The sequence below is a fragment of the Homo sapiens genome, chromosome 10 (assembly GCF_000001405.40).
Source record: "Homo sapiens chromosome 10, GRCh38.p14 Primary Assembly".
In the NCBI taxonomy this organism is placed as follows: Eukaryota; Metazoa; Chordata; class Mammalia; order Primates; family Hominidae; genus Homo; species Homo sapiens.
The window spans coordinates 122146297-122164793 of NC_000010.11; the positions used below are offsets into that span (position 1 = coordinate 122146297).

At 51.4% G+C, this 18497-nt stretch overlaps 1 protein-coding gene and 1 long non-coding RNA gene across 56 annotated transcripts in view, besides 2 other annotated features; one reads left to right on the forward strand and one right to left on the reverse strand.

Annotated features, from left to right (window-relative positions):
* Positions 1-18497, forward strand: part of TACC2 (transforming acidic coiled-coil containing protein 2) — a 265380-nt gene that overhangs the window by 157134 nt on the left and 89749 nt on the right. For 5 of the 55 annotated variants that reach the window (XM_024447765.2, XM_011539132.3, NM_001291878.2 and 2 more), the window contains exon 1: positions 17334-17696. The exons of the other annotated variants lie outside the window; for them this stretch is intronic. In XM_024447765.2, the coding sequence (XP_024303533.1) occupies positions 17629-17696 (68 nt within the window). In that variant the 5' untranslated portion in view covers positions 17334-17628. Of the gene's footprint in view, positions 1-17333; positions 17697-18497 lie in introns of those variants that run through there. 55 annotated transcript variants of the gene reach the window in all.
* LOC124902518 (uncharacterized) lies at positions 8-9887 on the reverse strand. Its single transcript, XR_007062323.1, has 2 exons — positions 6224-9887; positions 8-711 (listed from the first exon to the last, which is right to left on the reverse strand). It is a non-coding gene; the product is annotated as an uncharacterized LOC124902518 (long non-coding RNA).
* Positions 8308-9279: an enhancer, noted in NCBI's record as "H3K4me1 hESC enhancer chr10:123914119-123915090 (GRCh37/hg19 assembly coordinates)". NCBI's record gives its function as "activates a minimal SCP1, AML or CMV promoter by ChIP-STARR-seq in primed H9 embryonic stem cells {active_cell/tissue: H9 hESC(primed)}" and the evidence as "EXISTENCE:reporter gene assay evidence [ECO:0000049][PMID:30033119]".
* Positions 8758-9052: an enhancer, noted in NCBI's record as "tiled region #8473; K562 Activating non-DNase unmatched - State 21:Repr". NCBI's record gives its function as "activates a minimal TATA promoter and a strong SV40 promoter by Sharpr-MPRA in K562 cells {active_cell/tissue: K562}" and the evidence as "EXISTENCE:reporter gene assay evidence [ECO:0000049][PMID:27701403]".

Genomic DNA, 18497 nt, shown 5'->3' on the forward strand with positions numbered 1-18497 from the left:
TTATCAATATATTGATACATCTTTATTATAATAACTAAAGTCTATAGTTGCTGTGGTTTGAGTATTTGTTGCCTCCAAAATTCATGCTGAAACTTAACCCCCAATCTGGCAGTATTGAGAGGTGAGGCCTTTAAGAGGTGATTGGGTTATGTGGCTCTGCACTCATGAATGGGTTAATCCATTCATGAATTAATGGATTGCTGGGATATCATGGGAGTGGGACTGGTGGCTTTATAAGAAGAGGAAGAAAGACCCGAGCTAGCTTACTCAGCCCCCTCGTTATAGGATACCCTGAACCACCTCTGTACTCTGCAGAGTCCCCACCAGCAAGAAGGCCCTCACCAGATGCTGCCCCTTGACCTTTGACTTCTCAGACTCCATAACTGTAAGAAAACAACTACTTTTCTTTATAAGTTATCTAGTTTCAGGTATTCTGCTATAAGCAACAGAAAATGAACTAATACAATAGTTGATTCACGTTTTCTTAGTTTTTCCCTAATGTCCTTTTTCTGTTCCAGGATCCCATCCAGGAAACCACATTTCCATTTTGTTTCTGTAGGTGCCTCTTGGCTGTGGCTGTTTCTTCTTAGACTTGTCTTGTTTCTGATGACCTTGACAGTTCTAAGGAGTTCTGGTTGGGTATTTAGTAGGATGCCCCACTATTGGAATTTGTCTGATGCTTTTCTCATGATTGGACTGGGCCTGTGGGTTCTGGGAGGAAGAACAGAGATCAAGTGTCATTTTCATCACATCCTATCAAGGGTACATACCATCGACATGACATATCACTGCTGACATTGACCTCAGTTGCTTGGCTGAGGTCATGTTTGTTGACTGTCTCCACTGTAAAGTTACTTTTTTTTTTTGAGACAGAGTCTCACTCTGTCACCCAGGCTGGAGTGCAGTGGTGCCATCTCCACTCACTGCAACCTCCACCCCAGAAGCTCAAGCGATTCTCCTGCCTCAACCTCCTGAGTAGCTGGGATTACAGGCTCCCGCCACTACGCCTGGCTAATTTTTGTATTTTTAGTGGAGTCAAGGTTTCACCATGTTGGCCAGGCTGGTCTCAAACTCCTGACCTCAAGTGACCCGTCCGCCTTGACCTCTCACAGTGCTGGGATTACAGGCATGAGCCACTGCGCCCCGCCAAGTTCCTTTTTTTCCCCCATTTCAGTACTGTCGTCTGTGGAAGGAAGTCACTGTGTGCACATTTAAGGGGTGGAGAGTTGTGCTCCTCCTCTGTTAGGGTGGAACATCTACAGAAATTATTTAGAGTTTTTCTGCACAGGAGATTTTTCTGTTCTCCTTCATTTATTAATTGATTCAATCATGTATTTATATCTGCATGGACTCCTGGATATTCATTTTATTCTTTGGGTTATAACCCAATACTACGTTATTTCATTGCTCCAATTGTAGCAGCTTTGGTCATGGGCTCCTTGGGCTTTCTTTTAAGAGTGTCCAGAAGCCCCCAGGCAGTACAGTGATACGATCGGATCTGCATTGTTAAAGACCTGGCCAGCTGCCTGCCAAGACAGGAGTGGTTTTAGGATTGAGGCCCCCATTTCCTGGGGCTCCCTGACAGCTGTGGTTCCATCACCTTCAGTGCACTCTCCACCTCGACTCTCTCCACAGCTGCTTTCAACCATGCGGCCATGGCCTGGATCCAGGGATCCAATCAACCGTGTTTTTTCCCTTTGGATGAGTTCCTGGAGGTTTTCAAAGCAAGTTTCGAAAATGTAAGGTTGAACATTTGATTTCACTGAAATGGAAGTCGTTATTCACCCAGGCTGAGCCAGAATTTTTTTTTTTTTTTTTTTTTTTTAGGCAGAGTTTCGCTCTCATAGCCCAGGCTGGAGTGCAATGGCGTGATCTCTTCTCACTGCAACTTCCGCCTCCCGGGTTTAAGCAGTTCTCCTGCCTCAGCCTCCCTAGTAGCTGGGATTATAGGCACCCGCCACCATGCCTGGCTAATTTTTGTATTTTTAGTAGAGATGGGGTTTCACCATGTCGACCAGGCTGGTCTCGAACTCCTGACCTCAGGTGATCCGACCGCCTCAGCCTCCCAAAGTGCTGGGATTACAGGCGTGAGCCACCATGCCCAGCCCTGGGCCAGAATTTGAGGTCCTGGATGGACTCTTGATTTTGGAAATACGTCTTCCATGGGTTCCTGCCACCAGCCAGGCATCGCCTGTTGGAGCCAGCGTGCCTTCTGGGTGTTATGCGCAGGCAGCTGCAGTGCCCGCCATATCTGTGGCTTTGTCTTCTCTCTTTGGGTTTGGAGGGGAGCAGCGAGGCAGTGAGACCTGGTGTATTGACAAAGAAAGCCCAGGGCACATCTTATTACAGAATTGACAGATGCTCTGTTCTTGCAAACATGCTGGGTGACTTCCTGCTGCCTCTTCCTGCTTCTTGCGGCTGCTGTGGAAACGATGACACAATCCCACGTTTCCAGTGCAAATGGCTTTTCTCCAGGAGTTTTCACACTCCCCTCCCCCCACTCTCATTGGTAATCATTAGGCCGTAGGCCTTGGGGAGAACAGATGTGACTTTGAGAGGGAGAAAAGTGAGGTTCTGGGAAGGAGAGAGAGCTTCAAGTCTCTGCCTCCTATCCCTGCCTGGGAGGGAGACCATTGCTGCAGTCACCACGCTTCTGATGGGCCTTCCTTTCCCCTCCATCGTAGCCCTCCTGAGGCTTTGTGGGGTCAGCAGGTCACCCTGACTTTTCCAGAGCTGTCAGCTCTTTGGAGAGCTGTACGAGGCTGAAGCCAGGCGAGGGGTCTGATAATAAGAATTTCCAGGAATACAAGCTGAAAGCCCTCACCTCACCAAGGCAGCCACAGCTGACCTCTGAGAGCTTGTGGCAAAGAGCCTGGTGTGTTGGACATGAGCTGAGTGGGTGTGGGTGTGAGCCCACGCAAGCATCATCTCTGTTCAGAGTTGGCCTCTCACTCCCTGCTGCGGACAGCTGTCCCCTAGGAATTGGTGACTTGGAAACCTGGCCAAGGGCTGTCTGGATAGACGCGGGAGAAACGGGATGGGAGAAGCAGCTGAGCTTCTTGCAGGGAGGAGGAAGCCGGATCCCCGGTGCTGGGCAGGAGGCCCAGGAGACACCCCTTGAGAAATGCTACCCTGAGCTGCAGACTGTGGCGGCTGTGGCGTTGGCTCTTCAGGCTTTCCTGTGAGGTGCCCCCACACTCCCGGCCCCACCCGCCCTGGGCAGCTGCCCCAAATTGCTCCCTTCCCTCTGTCAACACTTCTCCAAGACTCCAGAGTTTTTCCTGCGCAGGAGGGGAAGGGCAGAAACCTCCCCATTCCCTCCACCCGAGTTAGAGAAGTCAGCCCTTTGGAAAACATGATGCATCTTCGCTCTGGAGCCAGTTCGCCAGTCCGCTCCCCAGCGCGGCACTTTGCCTTGTAGGCGGGGTGCAGATGAGCCTCTCTGCCTCACTAGGGAAAGGGGCTGGGTTGTTGGGCTGAGGGTCTCCGGGGATTAGACTCTGCGCTGACCAAACTGGGCTCTCGTGGCATCATTCCTTGGTTACGCAGGTCAAGTTTCCATTGTTCTCTTGCCTCTGAGGCCCACTGGGTCCGGGGCAGACTGAGCATAACTACGCTGAGCCACGTCACCGGCCGGTGAGACGCGCGGAGGCATTGATGGGTCCCCTGGTTCCCGCTCAGTCTCCGAAATGTGAGCTGCCGCGGAGTGGGTGCTGGGCTGTCCCGCTGGCTTCAGCCTGAGGAGCAGGAGCAGAGGGCGTCAGTTAGATGGTGGCTCCCTCAGTTCCGTGGGCCCAGGTCTGCAGTTCTTTTCCTCCTTCTGGGAGGGGAGGGGAAGGAGAGCCGGCAGCAGCGGGGCTCCCTGGCCCTACTCTGGGGGCACAGCTGGGAGAAGCTGCAAAGCTTCAGCTTGTGACGCCATCTGGGCGGCAGTCCCACGGCCCCTAGAGCAGCTGGGAAGGGGATCCCGCCCTGAAATGGGGCTCAGGGAGGAACATATGGGCAGGCATCTGTGAGGGCGTGGCTGGACGTGCTCAGCACAGCACTGGTGGGTGGAAGGTTCCAGGGCAGTGTGGGGGCCCTTCTTGCCCTGAATAGGGGCAGCTGAGGCCAGGAGCCCACCCTCCTCCCCGAGCACGGCTGCCCAGGGACGGCCCTCGGCTTCCACTTGATGGTTTTAGGTGCTTGCCCTGCGGGAGGCTGCGTTCCTTCCAAGCCAAATGCGTGCTCTCCAGCCCTCAGACCCAGTGGAGGTGCAGAAAGAGGGGTGGCCAGGAGACGGCTGGTCACAGAGTGCCCCAAAGGTGGTGGAGAAATAGACCCCCAAACCAAGGGAGGCAGGGCCCAGGGAGGTGGGGTAGGATGGGATATGGTACGAGCATGTGCGGCTCAGGACCCCACCATGCCCGAGTGCCTCGCCGTGTTGATGAGCCAGTTTCTTTAATACTTCGCTGTCAGGAGAAGGACCTGCTGAGCGCTGGAGTCTAGGTGGAGTCATGCAGCGTTCCTGGGTCCTTTCTTCTGCTTTGTTTGCATTTTTTGATCCTGCCAGCCAGCCTCTCGGCAGATACATCCCGGTTGATTCTATGCCACGGACTATTCGGAAGGTGGCGCAGGGGAAGGAGCATGAAGTTGGAAAGACAGGCCTATTTACCAGCTGTGTGACATGGCATGAGTTACTTGACTACTCTGAGCCTTGGTTTACCCATCTTTAAGATAGGGCTAGTAGTACCCACCTCTTGGGGGTTATTGTGAGTAGTAAATGTACATGAAGAATGTAGCTCAGTGTTTGACAAGTAGGAGGCATTGAATTCACATTCCCCCCACTCCAACTCCCAGCAGTGATGGGGAAAAGGAGGCAGACAGAGACAGCTGTTCTGGAAACAGAAAAATACAACATGATAAACTTAACATAGTACAACCTGATAAACTCTCCAATAGAGCTGAGAACAAAAGACTCAAGAGAAGGGAGCACCTGACTCTGCCTGGAGAAGTTGGGAAGGCTTCCCAGAGGAGGCGGCATCACCACTGAGTTTTGCAGCATGGCTAGGTGTTTGCTGAGGGTAAAGAAGGGCAAAAGTGCTTCAGGGAAGAGGAACCAAATGTGCCAAAGCTTGGGGTGTGGCGAGGCCCAGCAGATTCAGGCAGCAGGTCAGAGAGGAACTGGAGGGACTAGAGGGAGGTACGGCGGTCTCAGACAGAGCAGCAGGGTGAGCAGCCAAGGTGGCCATGGTCCTCAGATTTAGAGGGGCCTGCAGCCAGACTGGGGAGTTTGCTGGTGCCAAAGAAGTGCAAAGAAACATGTCTTCTCTTTTCAAGCAGGGGAGAGTCAGGATGGAATTTAGTTTGGGGAAATATCTCTGGTGGCGAGGAGGAGGGTGGGTGGAGGAGAGGCCAGAGGTCAGAGGGCCATGTGGAAGTTGTTCCTGTGGTCCAAGTGGGAGACAGTGGTGGCCTGAACTAAAGCAGTGGCCGTGGGGATGGAGGGGACCTGGGTCTGTCTTTGTGCCTTGCATTCATCCATTCACCAACGTTGATTGAGCATTTGCTCTGTGCAAGGCTGAAGGCAGGTGCTGGGATACAGTGGTGACCCTGCAACGTGGGCCACAGTATGTCTGAGGGTGACACTGCGGAGGTGACTACTCCCAGGCTGGACTGTGACTCTGGGCAGGGGCTCGCTGGGAGAAGTTGCCCAGGGCCTGGGGCTTGGCACCAGCATTTCCTCCCCTTACTGCCCAAGGCTGGGGCCCAGGGCCAGAAGGGTATAATTCCCCATGTGGCTCCACCAAACATGGAGACCTTGGAGTGTTCTCCTGGGCTAAGAGGCAAAGGATGGTGGCTCTTTGAGGATGACTTGCCCACCTTGTGCCCCACCTTGGTGTCCCTGCTCCCATCTCTGTCTAAATACCGTCTTGCTGAGCATCATTTCCTGGCTTTGCAGAAAGAATTACAGGGTCCTGCCTGCCTTTCTTGGGTTTAGATAATGGAGCTGAAAGCCAATGAATAAAATCAGAATGATTTCTTAAAGAGGGATGGAAGATCCAACAACAACAACAAAAAGAAATAAGCAAACACAAATGAAAGGGGGAAGTCTCCCAGGTCGGAGGACCTGCAGTCTGGCCAGAGCGGCTCTGCTCAAACCACAGGGAGAAGCTTAACATTGTGGCCAGTACACATGTACTAACCCCATATGTGTCCACGATTGGCACGGACCTTCCCTTACTTGGTGGGCTGCAGTGATACTCTATTCCATTCCATTCCATAAACGCGTGTTGACACGGCTGACTTGATGACATGATTCCCTGGTGCATCGTCCCTGCTTCATTTCCAAGAGGAGGCAGCTTGTCCCGAGGTTGGCACGTGGTACCAGCAGTGCCTCTGCCAACACAGCCTGAGACATCTGTCCAGACTGACGTAGTTGGGGAAATGGGCCGAGCCATCCTGCATCCTCACTCTCTGTGGCCAGAACGCTGACTGTTGCAGCACTGTTTGGCAGGACTCAGGGTGGGAACTGGGACCTTGTGGAGAAAAGGGTGGAGAGCAACATAATAGGCTCTGACTGGGATTAGGTTTCAGGTTCTCCCTGGAGCATCACAGAGTGGCTCTAGTTTTCTTCCTCTTGTGATAACATCTGGCCTTTACTGAGTACTTTCTATGTACCAGGCACTGAGAGCAATGCTTTTGATATATATTTCTTTCTTTCTTTTTTTTTTGAGACGGAGTCTCACTTGCTCTGTCTCCCAGGCTGCAGTGCAGTGGTGTGATCTCGGCTCACTGCAGCCTCCGCCTCCCAGGTTCAGGCAATTGTCCTGCCTCAGCATCTTGAGTAGATGGGATTACAGGCATAGGTCACCACGCCCGGCTAAGTTTTGTATTTTTAGTAAAGACAGAGTTTCACCATGTTGGCCTGGCTGGTCTCAAACTCCTGACATCAGGTGATCCTCTCGCCTCCCAAAGTGCTGGGATTATAGGCATAAGCCATAGCGCCTGGCCCGATATGTATTTCATCTCACTTAATGTGCATAACAGTCCTGTCAGGGAGATATTTTTGTTGTGCCCATTTTATAGATGGGACAACTGAAGCCCAGCAAAGTCAGAACACTGGCCGAGGCCCCAAGCTCTGAGGCCAAAGCTGTGGTGGGAACCATTTGGGTTGGGTCATCTCATATCTGTGGACTCCTCCAGGAAGCCTTCCAGCTTCTAACTCTGCTGCCTGATTGCAGACCTCGGGTTTCGAGTCCCAGAGGTGTTGTGAGAGGCAGTGAAGCAGGGACACCAAGTCCTCCTCAGGCCAAAGTGATTTCTTGTTTTTTCACAAAACAGCCACAGCAGCAGCCACAGCTAAACATGTATTGAGCACTTGCTGTATGCCTTGCACTGCAGTGCCTCGGGCTTTTTCACATATTATCTCATTTAAACCTTGCACCCTCGATGTTATGGAAGAGGAACTGTTATTATTTTCATTGCACAGATGAGAAAACGGAAGCACAGAGGACTAATAACTTCTCAGGGTCAGCTTAAGGATGCCAGTGAGTGAAAAATGTCCCTTGCTTTCTATTCATCTTTTTGACTTAGGTGTCTGAGGAAGAGAGTTTAATTCAAACCTTACTGCTGAGCAACCAACCTGTCTTCCTCCCTCCGGGCCCCCAATCACAAAAATAAACAAGATCTGCCACTAGGGAGATTGTTGAGGTCAGGGAGACTGGGGACCGGCTCTGGGCTCTGCATGTGGTACCTGGGGTCTCTTTGCAGCCCTGGAAGGGCTCGTCCTAGGGAGGACCTCCTTGAGTTGCCTTCAGCCCTGGCCTCAGCTGGAAACAGTTTGGATGTCTGCCTTTCTCGTCTGTGTCCGCAAGTACAGCTCTGTCTACCCATTTCTCCATTCATATGCTCATAGTTATTGAGGGCTTCCAAGGGCCTGATGCCGGGCCAGGCTCCCTCTTGGAGCCAAACTTGCTGCTGCTCGGACAAAGGAGCCGTCCCATACTGGGGCATGGGTGTGTGTATAAACTGGTCTTAAGATCGTAGGCACAGGTAGATTCCGAGGCAGGCAGTCACTGCACAGGGGAAATGCTTATGCAAAGTAGCAATCCTTCATGTCTTCCTGGAGTAATAGTTTAAAGATACGCAGAAAAATATGTAAATATGCCATGCATTTAGTTTTTGCCAAACTGATGCCTAATAGCCTCTGCAGGCTGTTAGGAAACCTTGTCATGCCTGTGTCCAGCTCTCTCTCACAACGATTCCTTAAGCTCAGCAAAGATGAAGCAGGAATTTGGTCAGTCTGTTGTCACGGGAAGATTTTCTTCCCATGTACACATCAACTGCTGAAGATCTGAGAATTTAGGAAAACTAATCTCTTATCCTCAGACACAATTGTATATTAATTGCAGCTGGCCACAGTTAGGCAGGGTGTAGAGGGAATTATACAGACAGGGCCTCTCGGCTGGTTATGGAAAGAGGGAAATATTTTTAGGACTTGCAAACACGCATGCAGGCGCGCACCCACCCACGCTGACACGCTCATTCACTTACTCTGCCCACGGACTTTATGCTATCAATAGATGCTCACGGATGCTATTTCTGGCCCGGCTTTCTGGATTTCTGTTCCTTCATGGAGGCTTGAGTCAGCAGTTCTGAGCCTCAGCGCCTGGTTTTTGCTGCCTGGCTCACAAGAAGGGCAGCCCTGTGCCAGCTTCTGTCTCGACTGCTGCGGGCAGGCGTGGGAAGAAATTTACCCCAGATGCTGCACATTCACCCCAGGGCAGTCACAGGTAGCTGCTGTCTCTGTTCAAAATGAGGGAAGGACGGAGAGGCAGGGAAGTTCTGCATTTGCTTTCTGTGCTTTCGTCTCGGAAGCATCTCCACCACCGGGCCACTGAGGGGAGCCCCTCCCACCACAGAGGCGCAGATCCGCCCTTCTCAACCTGCCTCTCCAGTCCGGCCTCAGAAACCAGCTTTGCTGTTGATTTTGGCAGCTGGGAGACGCCATCTCTGTTTACACCCAAATGTTTTCCTTAAAAGGCCTTTTATTCCTAGTACAAAGTAGCCTCTAGAACCAGTGACTTTAAACCTTAGAGGAACTCCGTGGATTAACACATCAACATTCAAAGCAAATGCGACATCAAACCTCTTTAAACAAGAACCAGAACGTTTTTGTGGTGCTTACTGAATTTTCTGTTCTTCTTGGAAATAGTTTCCGGAGAAGAAAGATGGATAACATTGGTTATGTTTTTGATCCTAGACAGATACAGTCACCTGGCTTAGGTGAGGGTGTTGGCTCTTTCTTCCCAGGTTTAGAATGGAACTGGGCTTTATTTATAAGTAGGAGCCTGAACTTTGGAGACTGAGATTTTATTTGGCCACGTGTCTGCTGTGGGCCACCCTCTCGATTTTCACCTATGATCTTAAACACAGTTTATAAAGGTAGTTACAGGAAGGACATCTGGGTTATCCGAAGGAAATTGTTATCTGAGAAAGGCCACTTAAAATGAGTCCACTTAATAAATCAAAGTTTTATGGTTAATAGTGGGAAAATTTTTTTTTTTTTTTTTTTTTTGAGACTGAGTCTCACTCTGTCGCCCAGGCTGGAGTGCAGTGGCGCAATCTTGGCTCACTGCAATCTCCGCCTCCCGGGCTCACACCATTCTCCTGCCTCAGCCTCGCGAGTAGCTGGGACTACAGGCGCCCGCCACCACGCCCGGCTAATTTTTTGTATTTTTAGTAGAGACGAGGTTTCACCGTGTTAGCCAGGATGGTCTTGATCTCCTGACCTTGTGATCCGCCTGCCTCGGCCTCCCAAAGTCCTGGGATTACAGGTGTGAGCCACCGTGCCTGGCCAATGGTGCAAAAAACGTTTTTAAGACTTCACTCTGAAAAGAAATGAAAAATTATGAAAATGATTTTATTTTAGATTTAACAAAATGTAGACTTTTTTTTTTTTTTGAGACAGAGTCTTGCTCTGTCACACAGGCTGGAGTGCAGTGGCGTGACTTCGGCTCACTGCAAGCTCCGCTTCCCGGGTTCACACCATTCTCCTGTCTCTGCCTCCCGAGTAACTGGGACAACAGGCACTCGCCACCATGCCCGGCTAATTTTTTTGTATTTTTAGTAGAGACGAGGTTTCACCGTGTTAGCCAGGATGGTCTCGATCTCCTGACCTTGTGATCCGCCCATCTTGGCCTCCCAAAGTGCTGGGATTACAGGCATGAGCCACCATGCCTGGCCAACAGGGTCACTCTTTCATAAACAGTTCTGAGGGCTTCTCTCAGTTCTTTCATCTTCACGTTCTCTCTTTGAAGCCACCTTCTGTCCTCATCCTGGCTGAGTTTCTCTTCTTCAGTTGCTCACAGGTCTGACTGTGCCAGCTGCCCTTTCTTACAGCTTTGGGGTAGGTTTTGAGCAATTCTCTGGTGTCACTTTAATTGACTCCATGACATCCTCCTCCTTCTTCCAGGTTTGCAGTTTTGCTTTCTGGTTTTTGGCACTGTATATTTGCTCCTTCAATCAGCAAGAGACTGCCAAAGACTAGACTTGTGAGGACATGACTGGGCACAGTGTCTCACGTCTGTAGTCCCAGCACTTTGGGAGGATCACTTGAGCCCAGGAGTTCGAGACCAGCTTAGGCAACATAGTGAGACCACATCTCTACAAAAAATAGAAAAAATTAGCTAGGCATGGTGGCACACGTCTGTGGTCCCAGCTAATCAGGAGACTAAGGCGGGAGGATCACTTGAGCCCAGGAGGTCGAGGCTGCAGTGAGATGAGATTGTGCCATCGCTCTCCAGCCTGGGTGACAGAGTGAGACCCTGTCTCAAATAAAATACAGTAAAATAGACTTGTGAAGACAGGAGGAGCATACGAGGGAGGATCAAGTCTATACATGGTTGCTTTGTTGATGACATTGTCCTAATGCTGCCCTTTGTGTTCTCTTATGTAACCTTGTTACCATGGAAACTTGAGCGGTGGGGACCCTTAGTGCAGGATGGGGGAACTAGAAATGCATCCCTGGGAACTTTGTAGTTTTAGGATTTTGTTGATTGCCAGGAGAGCTGAGGAGCCCCTGCCGTGCTTGCTGACATAGCTATATGGAAGAATATTGTATTGGTGGGAGGATATTGTTGAAGGCATCAGCCACCATATACATACAGTCACCTGGTGAAGGGCTTGTGGGAGAATGCGTGTTCAGAAAGTCACAACAGAAGCTGCTCATCCATGGGATTTTTTTTTTTTTTAACCTGTCGGATTTTATGAATCATGTAACTGATCATAGTGGTTGCCCTTTTTGCTTTGGCTGTTGGGAAACTTAGAGCCAGACTTGTACCCCACTCCAGCAAGGGCTTAGGTCAGCACTTCCACGCTTACCTCACTCCCTCTGGCTTTTAGCCACCTTTTCTTCCTGTATTTTCTTTGTTCTCTTGAATTGTGGGCTTAAATCCTTTTTGACATTAGGTAGAGTATATTCTCTCAAAAGCTACCTCATGAGCGTCTCCTACCATTTCCGTCTCAAAAGAGCTGAAATATCAAGCCAGCAATGGTGTGTTTAAAAAAAAAAGAAAGCTGAATTTATGTGGTAAAGAAAGAAAGATTTTGAGGATCATATTCAGTCTTTTCGAACGTGGTATGTGTGTTACTGATTTTTTTTTTCATATGTGATGAGAATTCTTAATGCTAACAACTTTTGTATAGCCCTGAGATTTTGGGGACTGGCCTTCCTCCCTCCTTCCCTCCTTCCCTCCTATAGGTATCAAAGATTACAAATATATTCTGAATTCTTAATTTGAAAATAAAAGTGAGTCTCGACTGGCTGTGAGATTACAGGTGGCTCACACTTGTAATTCCAGCACTTTGGGAGGCCAAGGCAGGCGGATCACTTGAGGCTGGGAGTTCAAGACCAGCCTGGGCAGCATGGTGAAACCCCATCTCTACTAAAAAATACAAAAATTAGCTGGGCGTGGTGGCGTGCACCTGTGGTCCCAGCTACTCGGGAGGCTGAGGGAGGAGAATTGCTTGAACCCAGGAGGCAGAGGTTGCAGTGAGCTGAGATCGTGCCACTGCACTCCAGCCTGGGCCACAGAGCGAGAGCGAGACTCCATCTCAAAAAAAAAAACAAAAACAAAAAAGAAAACCCAAAAAACAAAAGTCAGTCTCATCTGTGTTTACTGACTTCTTTTCTAGGACATTTGGGTTACCTCCCTGGGTCTAATAGTAAAATTCCCAGTCTTCCACCTCTGTCATAACTGAATCAACAGGGTTTTTCCTGCTGAAGAGTCACCTGTAGAGCTGTCCTTGCTTGTGAAGAACTTTGAAAGGTTCCAGGTGTAAATATGGTGAAGGTGGTAGAAAGAGATGCCGTAAATAGATCAGCCCTTTGCAAGGAGAGAACAAGAGAACCTTCTGGAAAAGATGGGGCTTCACCGAAGCTTGTACTTAAGCCCAAGAAACCACTTAGACTCCCAGAGGTGAGCAGGTGAGATTTAATGTTGGCATGTAAGAGGTTAACAGAATATCTGTACCGCTGCAAATAAACGAACACAACCATCTTCTGCCTTTTCTCTATTCATCATAAGACAGAGTTTTGCCAGGACCTTCTCCCCATCCTCTGAGGTCTCGTGCGGCATGTGTTTATGGGGCTCTGGCTGTGCTTGGGGCACCCTGCATGGCTGGAGAGTGGAGACACCAGACACAGACACACCTGAGACTCTTAACAAGGCAAGAAAGCGCCAAGGCATCAATATGCAGGCAGCCGAGGGGATGGGAAGAAAGAAGTCTGGGGGCTGGCAGGGAGCAGACCCCTCCAGGGAGCTGGGGGAGCTGGGATGTGATTTTCTGGAGGAATTGAGAGAGATGCAGAAGTTGAGGAGGGGGCAGCTCCTCAGCAGTGAGGCCACGGTGAGGACCTGGCCGTGCTCCAATGCTGGATCAAAGCCAGGAGGTCGGATTGGGACTTTTTTGCAAAGGCAGTGGACGACTTTTGGAACAAGACTGAGTGATGCGGCAGTGTGTCCTTTGGGGACACATGGAAAGAGCATCCATCCTGGGACTGTGACACCTGGGTGGAGAAAGCCCGGCACCGCACCATTCTCGCCTGAGCCCAGGTTCTGTCCCTGCTCACATGTCCCTGCTCCTGTTGACATGTGGGTGCTGCATTCAGGCCACACAGCTTCCCAGCTCTTCGAATTTTCGGCAAGGCAGTGAGCATGCCTAGCTCAGTGCAGGGCTCGGGCGTTCAGGCACTGCTGGGTGCAGAGTTGTGTGACACGGGGCTGGATGCCTGGGGCCTCAGGTGGAGTAACAAGATAACACTCTCAGAGACAGCCCAGAGCTGGTCTCAAGCTTGGCTCCCTGAAGAGAAGTCGCTGGGGTTTTGTCCAGCCTCCCTCTGCTCGCCACCATGGTATAGTGGGTGGTGGTGAAGACCCAGGGCTTGGAGGAGCCCTGTTCTCCATCTGTGTTTACATTCTTAGCTCCTCCAGATGGGTTTCTCTGTGATCTGACCTACTTTCCTGAGTGTATGTGCTCGGGCTAATTAGCAGCTCGGGGTCCATTGGTGGTGTTTGGAGAGTCTTGCTGCTATGGCAACTGGAGACTCCCTGAGGCCAGAGGCAAAGGTGGAGCCACTCACCTTTGTTTTTCTTGGGGTGTCAGAGGGGTCTCAAACTACTTGCAGTTTCTGACCATGGCTCCGTCCGTTGAACCTCTGTGGGACTGAAGAGGCTGCACTACATAGCTTCAGTTTATCTTTTGGCTACAGGGATTTGTCAGGTTTGCTGATCTTTCTGGTAGGTGTCACAAAGTAATGTGAGAATAAGCTGGTTTCCACTTATAGGCCAGGCACATAATAGGTGCATTAATAAACGTTGAACTGCTTTTTAGAAATGATGGATGCATTCCTTGATTTATCCAGGTTTCTAGGGTGTCTTTGGGGACGTCAGTAGGAAGGTTTGCAGTGGAGCCTGTCTAAGCGGGCTTAGCCTGCCTTCGGGCCCCTAGAATATGTGGACTGTGGTCTAACAGACAGGCCCCCAGGGGCTGTTTGAGTTCAGGGTCTCATTAGGGTCGTGCTTAGGAGTAGTGGGGTTCCCTGGATGGCTTAAATAGAAAACAGTGATTTCTTCCAGTTCTGGAGGCTGGAAGTCTGAGAGCAGGGTGCTAGCATGGTTGGGTTCCTGATGAAGGCTCTCCTCCTGGCTTGTAGATGGCCACTTTCTTGCCTCACACAGCAGAGAAGAAGTGTGTGTGTGGGGGGGGTCTCGTGTCTTTTTCTCTTTTTATACGGGTATAATCTCATCTTGAGGGGACCCTTATGATGTAATCTAATTCTAATTACCTCCCAAAAGCCCCACCTCCAAATACCATCCCACTAGGGATTAGGGCTTCAACACATGAATTTGGGAGGGAGGCGCAAGCATTCAGTCCATAGCACAGCCCTTTTATCATTCTCCCTCCTTATTTTCTTCAGCTTTACATTTTCTGTAGGCCGAGTTACTAGATCACCAGCTTTGTTTTAAATTGTTTGTAAAGTCAGCATGGAAAGGTCTTCAATGAGGGTCTGAGAGACTCTTCCATAAATAATTTACACAAACTAATCATACATGGGTTTTAGTTGTATCGACTGTAATGGTGCCCACATTCTATTTGTTTCTCTCCTGGTTCTTTTTTTTGGAGACAGGGTCTCGCTCTGTCACCCAGGCTGGAGTGCAGTGGCACGATCATGGCTCACTGCAGCCTCAACTTGCTGGACTCAAGCACATCAGCCTCCTGAGTAGCTGGGACCACAGTTATGCACCACCACACCCACCTAATTTTGTTTATTTTTTTGTAGAGACAAGGTCTCACTATGTTGCCCAGGCTGGTCTTGAACTCCTGGGCTCAAGCAATCCTCCCACCTCGGCCACCCCAAGTGCTGGGATTACAGATGTGAGCCATGGTGCCCAGCCCCTCTCCTGGTTCTTGATTGTGTTTTTGACAGCCGTGAGATGGTGTTGTCCCACTAAGTAATATGCCCTGTCACTACATCATAACTTTGCAGTTGTTGGGATTCTACGTAAAAGCACTTCACTTTAATGCTGCCTTAATTTCCTTTATGGTACTATACTTGGGGGGAAATTTTTTCTTATAAATAAGAATCCTGGTCCTGGGCATTCATAGATGGTATTTAATTTACTTTTTCCAATGCCCTTGCAAAATAGATGCTTTTCCTCTTTTGCCAGCTGAGGAAATAAGGTTCAGTATGGTTAAACAGTCGGCTCAGGCCACACAGCTAACGAGGGAGAAGTCAGGATTTGAACTCGAGTCTCATTTCAAACCCTATCTTGTTATCGCAGCAGAACCTTTACCTATTAAGGCTAAGGACGTTTAGATGGCTTTGTGCTTTTGCACCTCATCTGAAAAATGTTTTTAAAAGTTGGCAGATGAGTTCTAATTGTGGTTCCTCATTTTTTTCCTCATGTATTTTCTGAGTACGAGGCTTGGCTGAAGGCCAGTTCCTAGGTGCCCAGGGAAAGGGCCACTTTCTTCAAAACAGTAGTAGCCCAGGTTAGAGCTTACAGATGTTTCAGCTCCACGTGGTAAGCTTCTTTGGGCCCTCACCTGCATATGGAGCCGAAGAGGTCTGTTTTCTGACAGAGAAACAAACCCCCAGGGTGCTGAGAATGGTGACAGGATGAACAGGTTGCAGGATCCTTGCCACCAAGTGACATCCAATGCTGACAGTGAGTGACGGCTTCCCCGGGAGGTGCTTTCCAGAGCACACCTCGTCACACCACCCCGACAGCCACCTTCCCCGCAAGATTGACATAATCATTAGCTATTTTCATATAAATGCAAAAGTAAACCTTCTCAGTGTTTCTGGGAAATTTCATGCTGTTACATCCCAGAAAACGATGTTGATCCTCTGGCATTCTGTTTGACACTGATACTGAATAAGAGCAGTGGAAAGTCAGTCCCCGTGAAGCTCTGGAACTACTGTGACCTCGAGTGTCAGTATCAAAAGAGCCCATCCAAACATCCTTGGCCACGTCGCTAGAAAACAGTGTATTGGAGGCAATTTTAAAATGCTTTGAACAATTTTGTTTTTATTTTCTTTTGCTTTTGGCCACAGTTTAGATACATTTTAGGCTCACTGCCCTGTGGGTGAAGACAAGCTGGGAAATGTGGAAGAGTCTTCCACTTACCCATCAGAGGTTCCATTTGAATTCAGTTGTGAGTCTGGGCTGGGAGCGCAGGAAGCGGTTGTGTTGAATGTACAGCATGAGGGGATGGTGGGGTTCCCAGGTGTGCCCCAAACCTCCTGTACCTATACAGAGATGAACTCTTTCTGCAGCAGCCTCCAGTGAGGAGGCTCAGGATCTCAAGTCTTGAGGGTTTCTGAGCCTGCCATAGGCCAGGGACAGGGATTTGGCTGCTGATGGGTGACATGCTGCCAGCTACAGAATGGGGCTGACTGGGCACTGGGAGCTTGGTGATGGGGTGTCACGGACATTCCTACAGGCCCAGCCCGTGTTTAGAATCACAGAGCTGAGCCGATGCATGTCACGGAGAACTGCCTTTGCCCTGTACACGCATGCTGCATTAGGGGCCTGCCTTGGGCGGCTCAGCTGGCCGCGCCTCTGCTTGTTTAGGGTGAGCCTTTGCACAGGGCTTGGCTTTGTGGAGCTCATTTGGTGGCCAAAGATGGTGTTGCAGCCCCAGCCCGCTCGCAGGCCCAGTACCTTTTGCTCCCTAGCTTGCCCCAGGCCCTCAGACTGTGCGGTGCAAAGGTCCTTGGAGGCTAGCCCCGGGCTGGCTGTGAGGGGAGAGCCAGGTGCCGCAGCTCTCCCTGGTACAGACTTCAGCTGCCTCCAGGACCCGGGGCCTGAAGGAGGCAGAAGCCGGCGGTGGAAAAGGGCGCACGTCTCTCCCAGCGTCGCTCCCGCTGCCCGCTGCCCACTGCAGCCTATTTACCTGTTCCTCCAGCCATCCCCTTAGTCCTGGGCCGGGAGAGACCATTTCCTCCTTCCTGGAGGGATGAGCCAACAGGGCTGAGCCCCCTACTCTCTCGGTGGTCAGCCCGCCCGACCACCACGCCCCTCCTTTCTAGGGCCCCAGCTCCCGGGCCGCGGCTCGTTTGCATTTCAAAGCTACACAATGCGGGCGGTCCCGGCGAGGCGGGAGGGGCCGGGGCAGAGGGAGGGTCTTCGCCTCCCCACCCCCAGCCCCGTTTCCGGAGCCCGCGATGGAGCTTTGTGAAGATGCAGGCGTTGGGGCTGCTCGGCGATGATGACATCATCGTGTCACACACAGGAGCCGGCTGCCGGGGGGTTTAAGAGAAGAGCCTTTCGGACCACACCGGCGCTCACGCTCATACCCGCACGCCCCGGGCAGAGCCGCGCACGCCGGCCACACTCGGGCGCGCGCCGGCCACACTCGCGCGCACACATACGCGGCGCTCGCCCCCCGGCCCCCGGCTCGGGCCGCGAGTCGCAGCTCCCTGCCGCCGCTCCCGCCGCCACGGATGCCCGCAGCTGCTCCCCTCTGCAGTGCAGCAACCCCGGCCGCCGGCCGGCTCGCCCCGGCTCCCGGCTGCAGGAATCGCGCCAGGACGCTGGCCCCGCTCGCGGCTAGCTTGCACGCCAGGGCACAGCGAGGATGGGAGGGTCGCAGTCCCTGCAGCCAGCCCCAGCCAGCGACCTGAACCTGGAGGCTTCCGAGGCAATGTAAGTGCTCCGCCCGGGCCGCCCCGAGTCTCCCGGGGAGGAGGAGAGGATGCCCGGGCTTTGTTAGTGTCGCCTTTCCTAATGCCTGTGCAACCTGGAGCCCAGGCTGGCCTGGGGTTCTTCGCAGCCTTGGAAAGCTTTACCTGGGGCTGCTCTGGGAGGAGCATCTGGTAGCCCCAAGTTACTGCTGTGGGCAGAAACGATTCCCTGGAATTCAGTTTTGGTCGCTCAGCAGTGGGTGCATGGCTGGGGGGCTTCTCCTGCCGTCAGCATCTTTCCTCTGCACCCCCGGCACAGTGGTATTTCCTGCAAGGGAACAGCCAGGCATCAGCGACTGCCTCCTCCTAGGAAGAACCCATGAGCGTGGCAGCTCCGTGCCCGGGGCGACAGCCCAGTTTCCGGGCAGCTGCGCTTGTGGCTGGGCAGATGGCGTGGTGCGCTCTGGTGGACGTTCCGTCTAGTTAGCCTAAGCATCATCCACATACTCTGGTGAACACTCGAGGACAAGGCCGCTTGCTATTATTAGTAAAGGGCCGAACCGTCCTGTCATTGGTGGAGGCAGTGCTTGACTGTGCATCGATCCAGGAATCCGATCTTTTCTCTCAACCACAGAGCTAACGTGCTCAGAAGTGGCCTTTATCCTGGCCGAGTGTTTATTAGAATTCACGTTTCTGTTATGGTCGTCTCCATTACCTACCCAGGCATGTTTGGACGATGGGGCGTATTGAATGGGTCTGCCGGCCGGGTCGCATTTCAGCAACTCAGGCTTGTATCCAAAGTGGACCTCCCAGCCTCACCTGC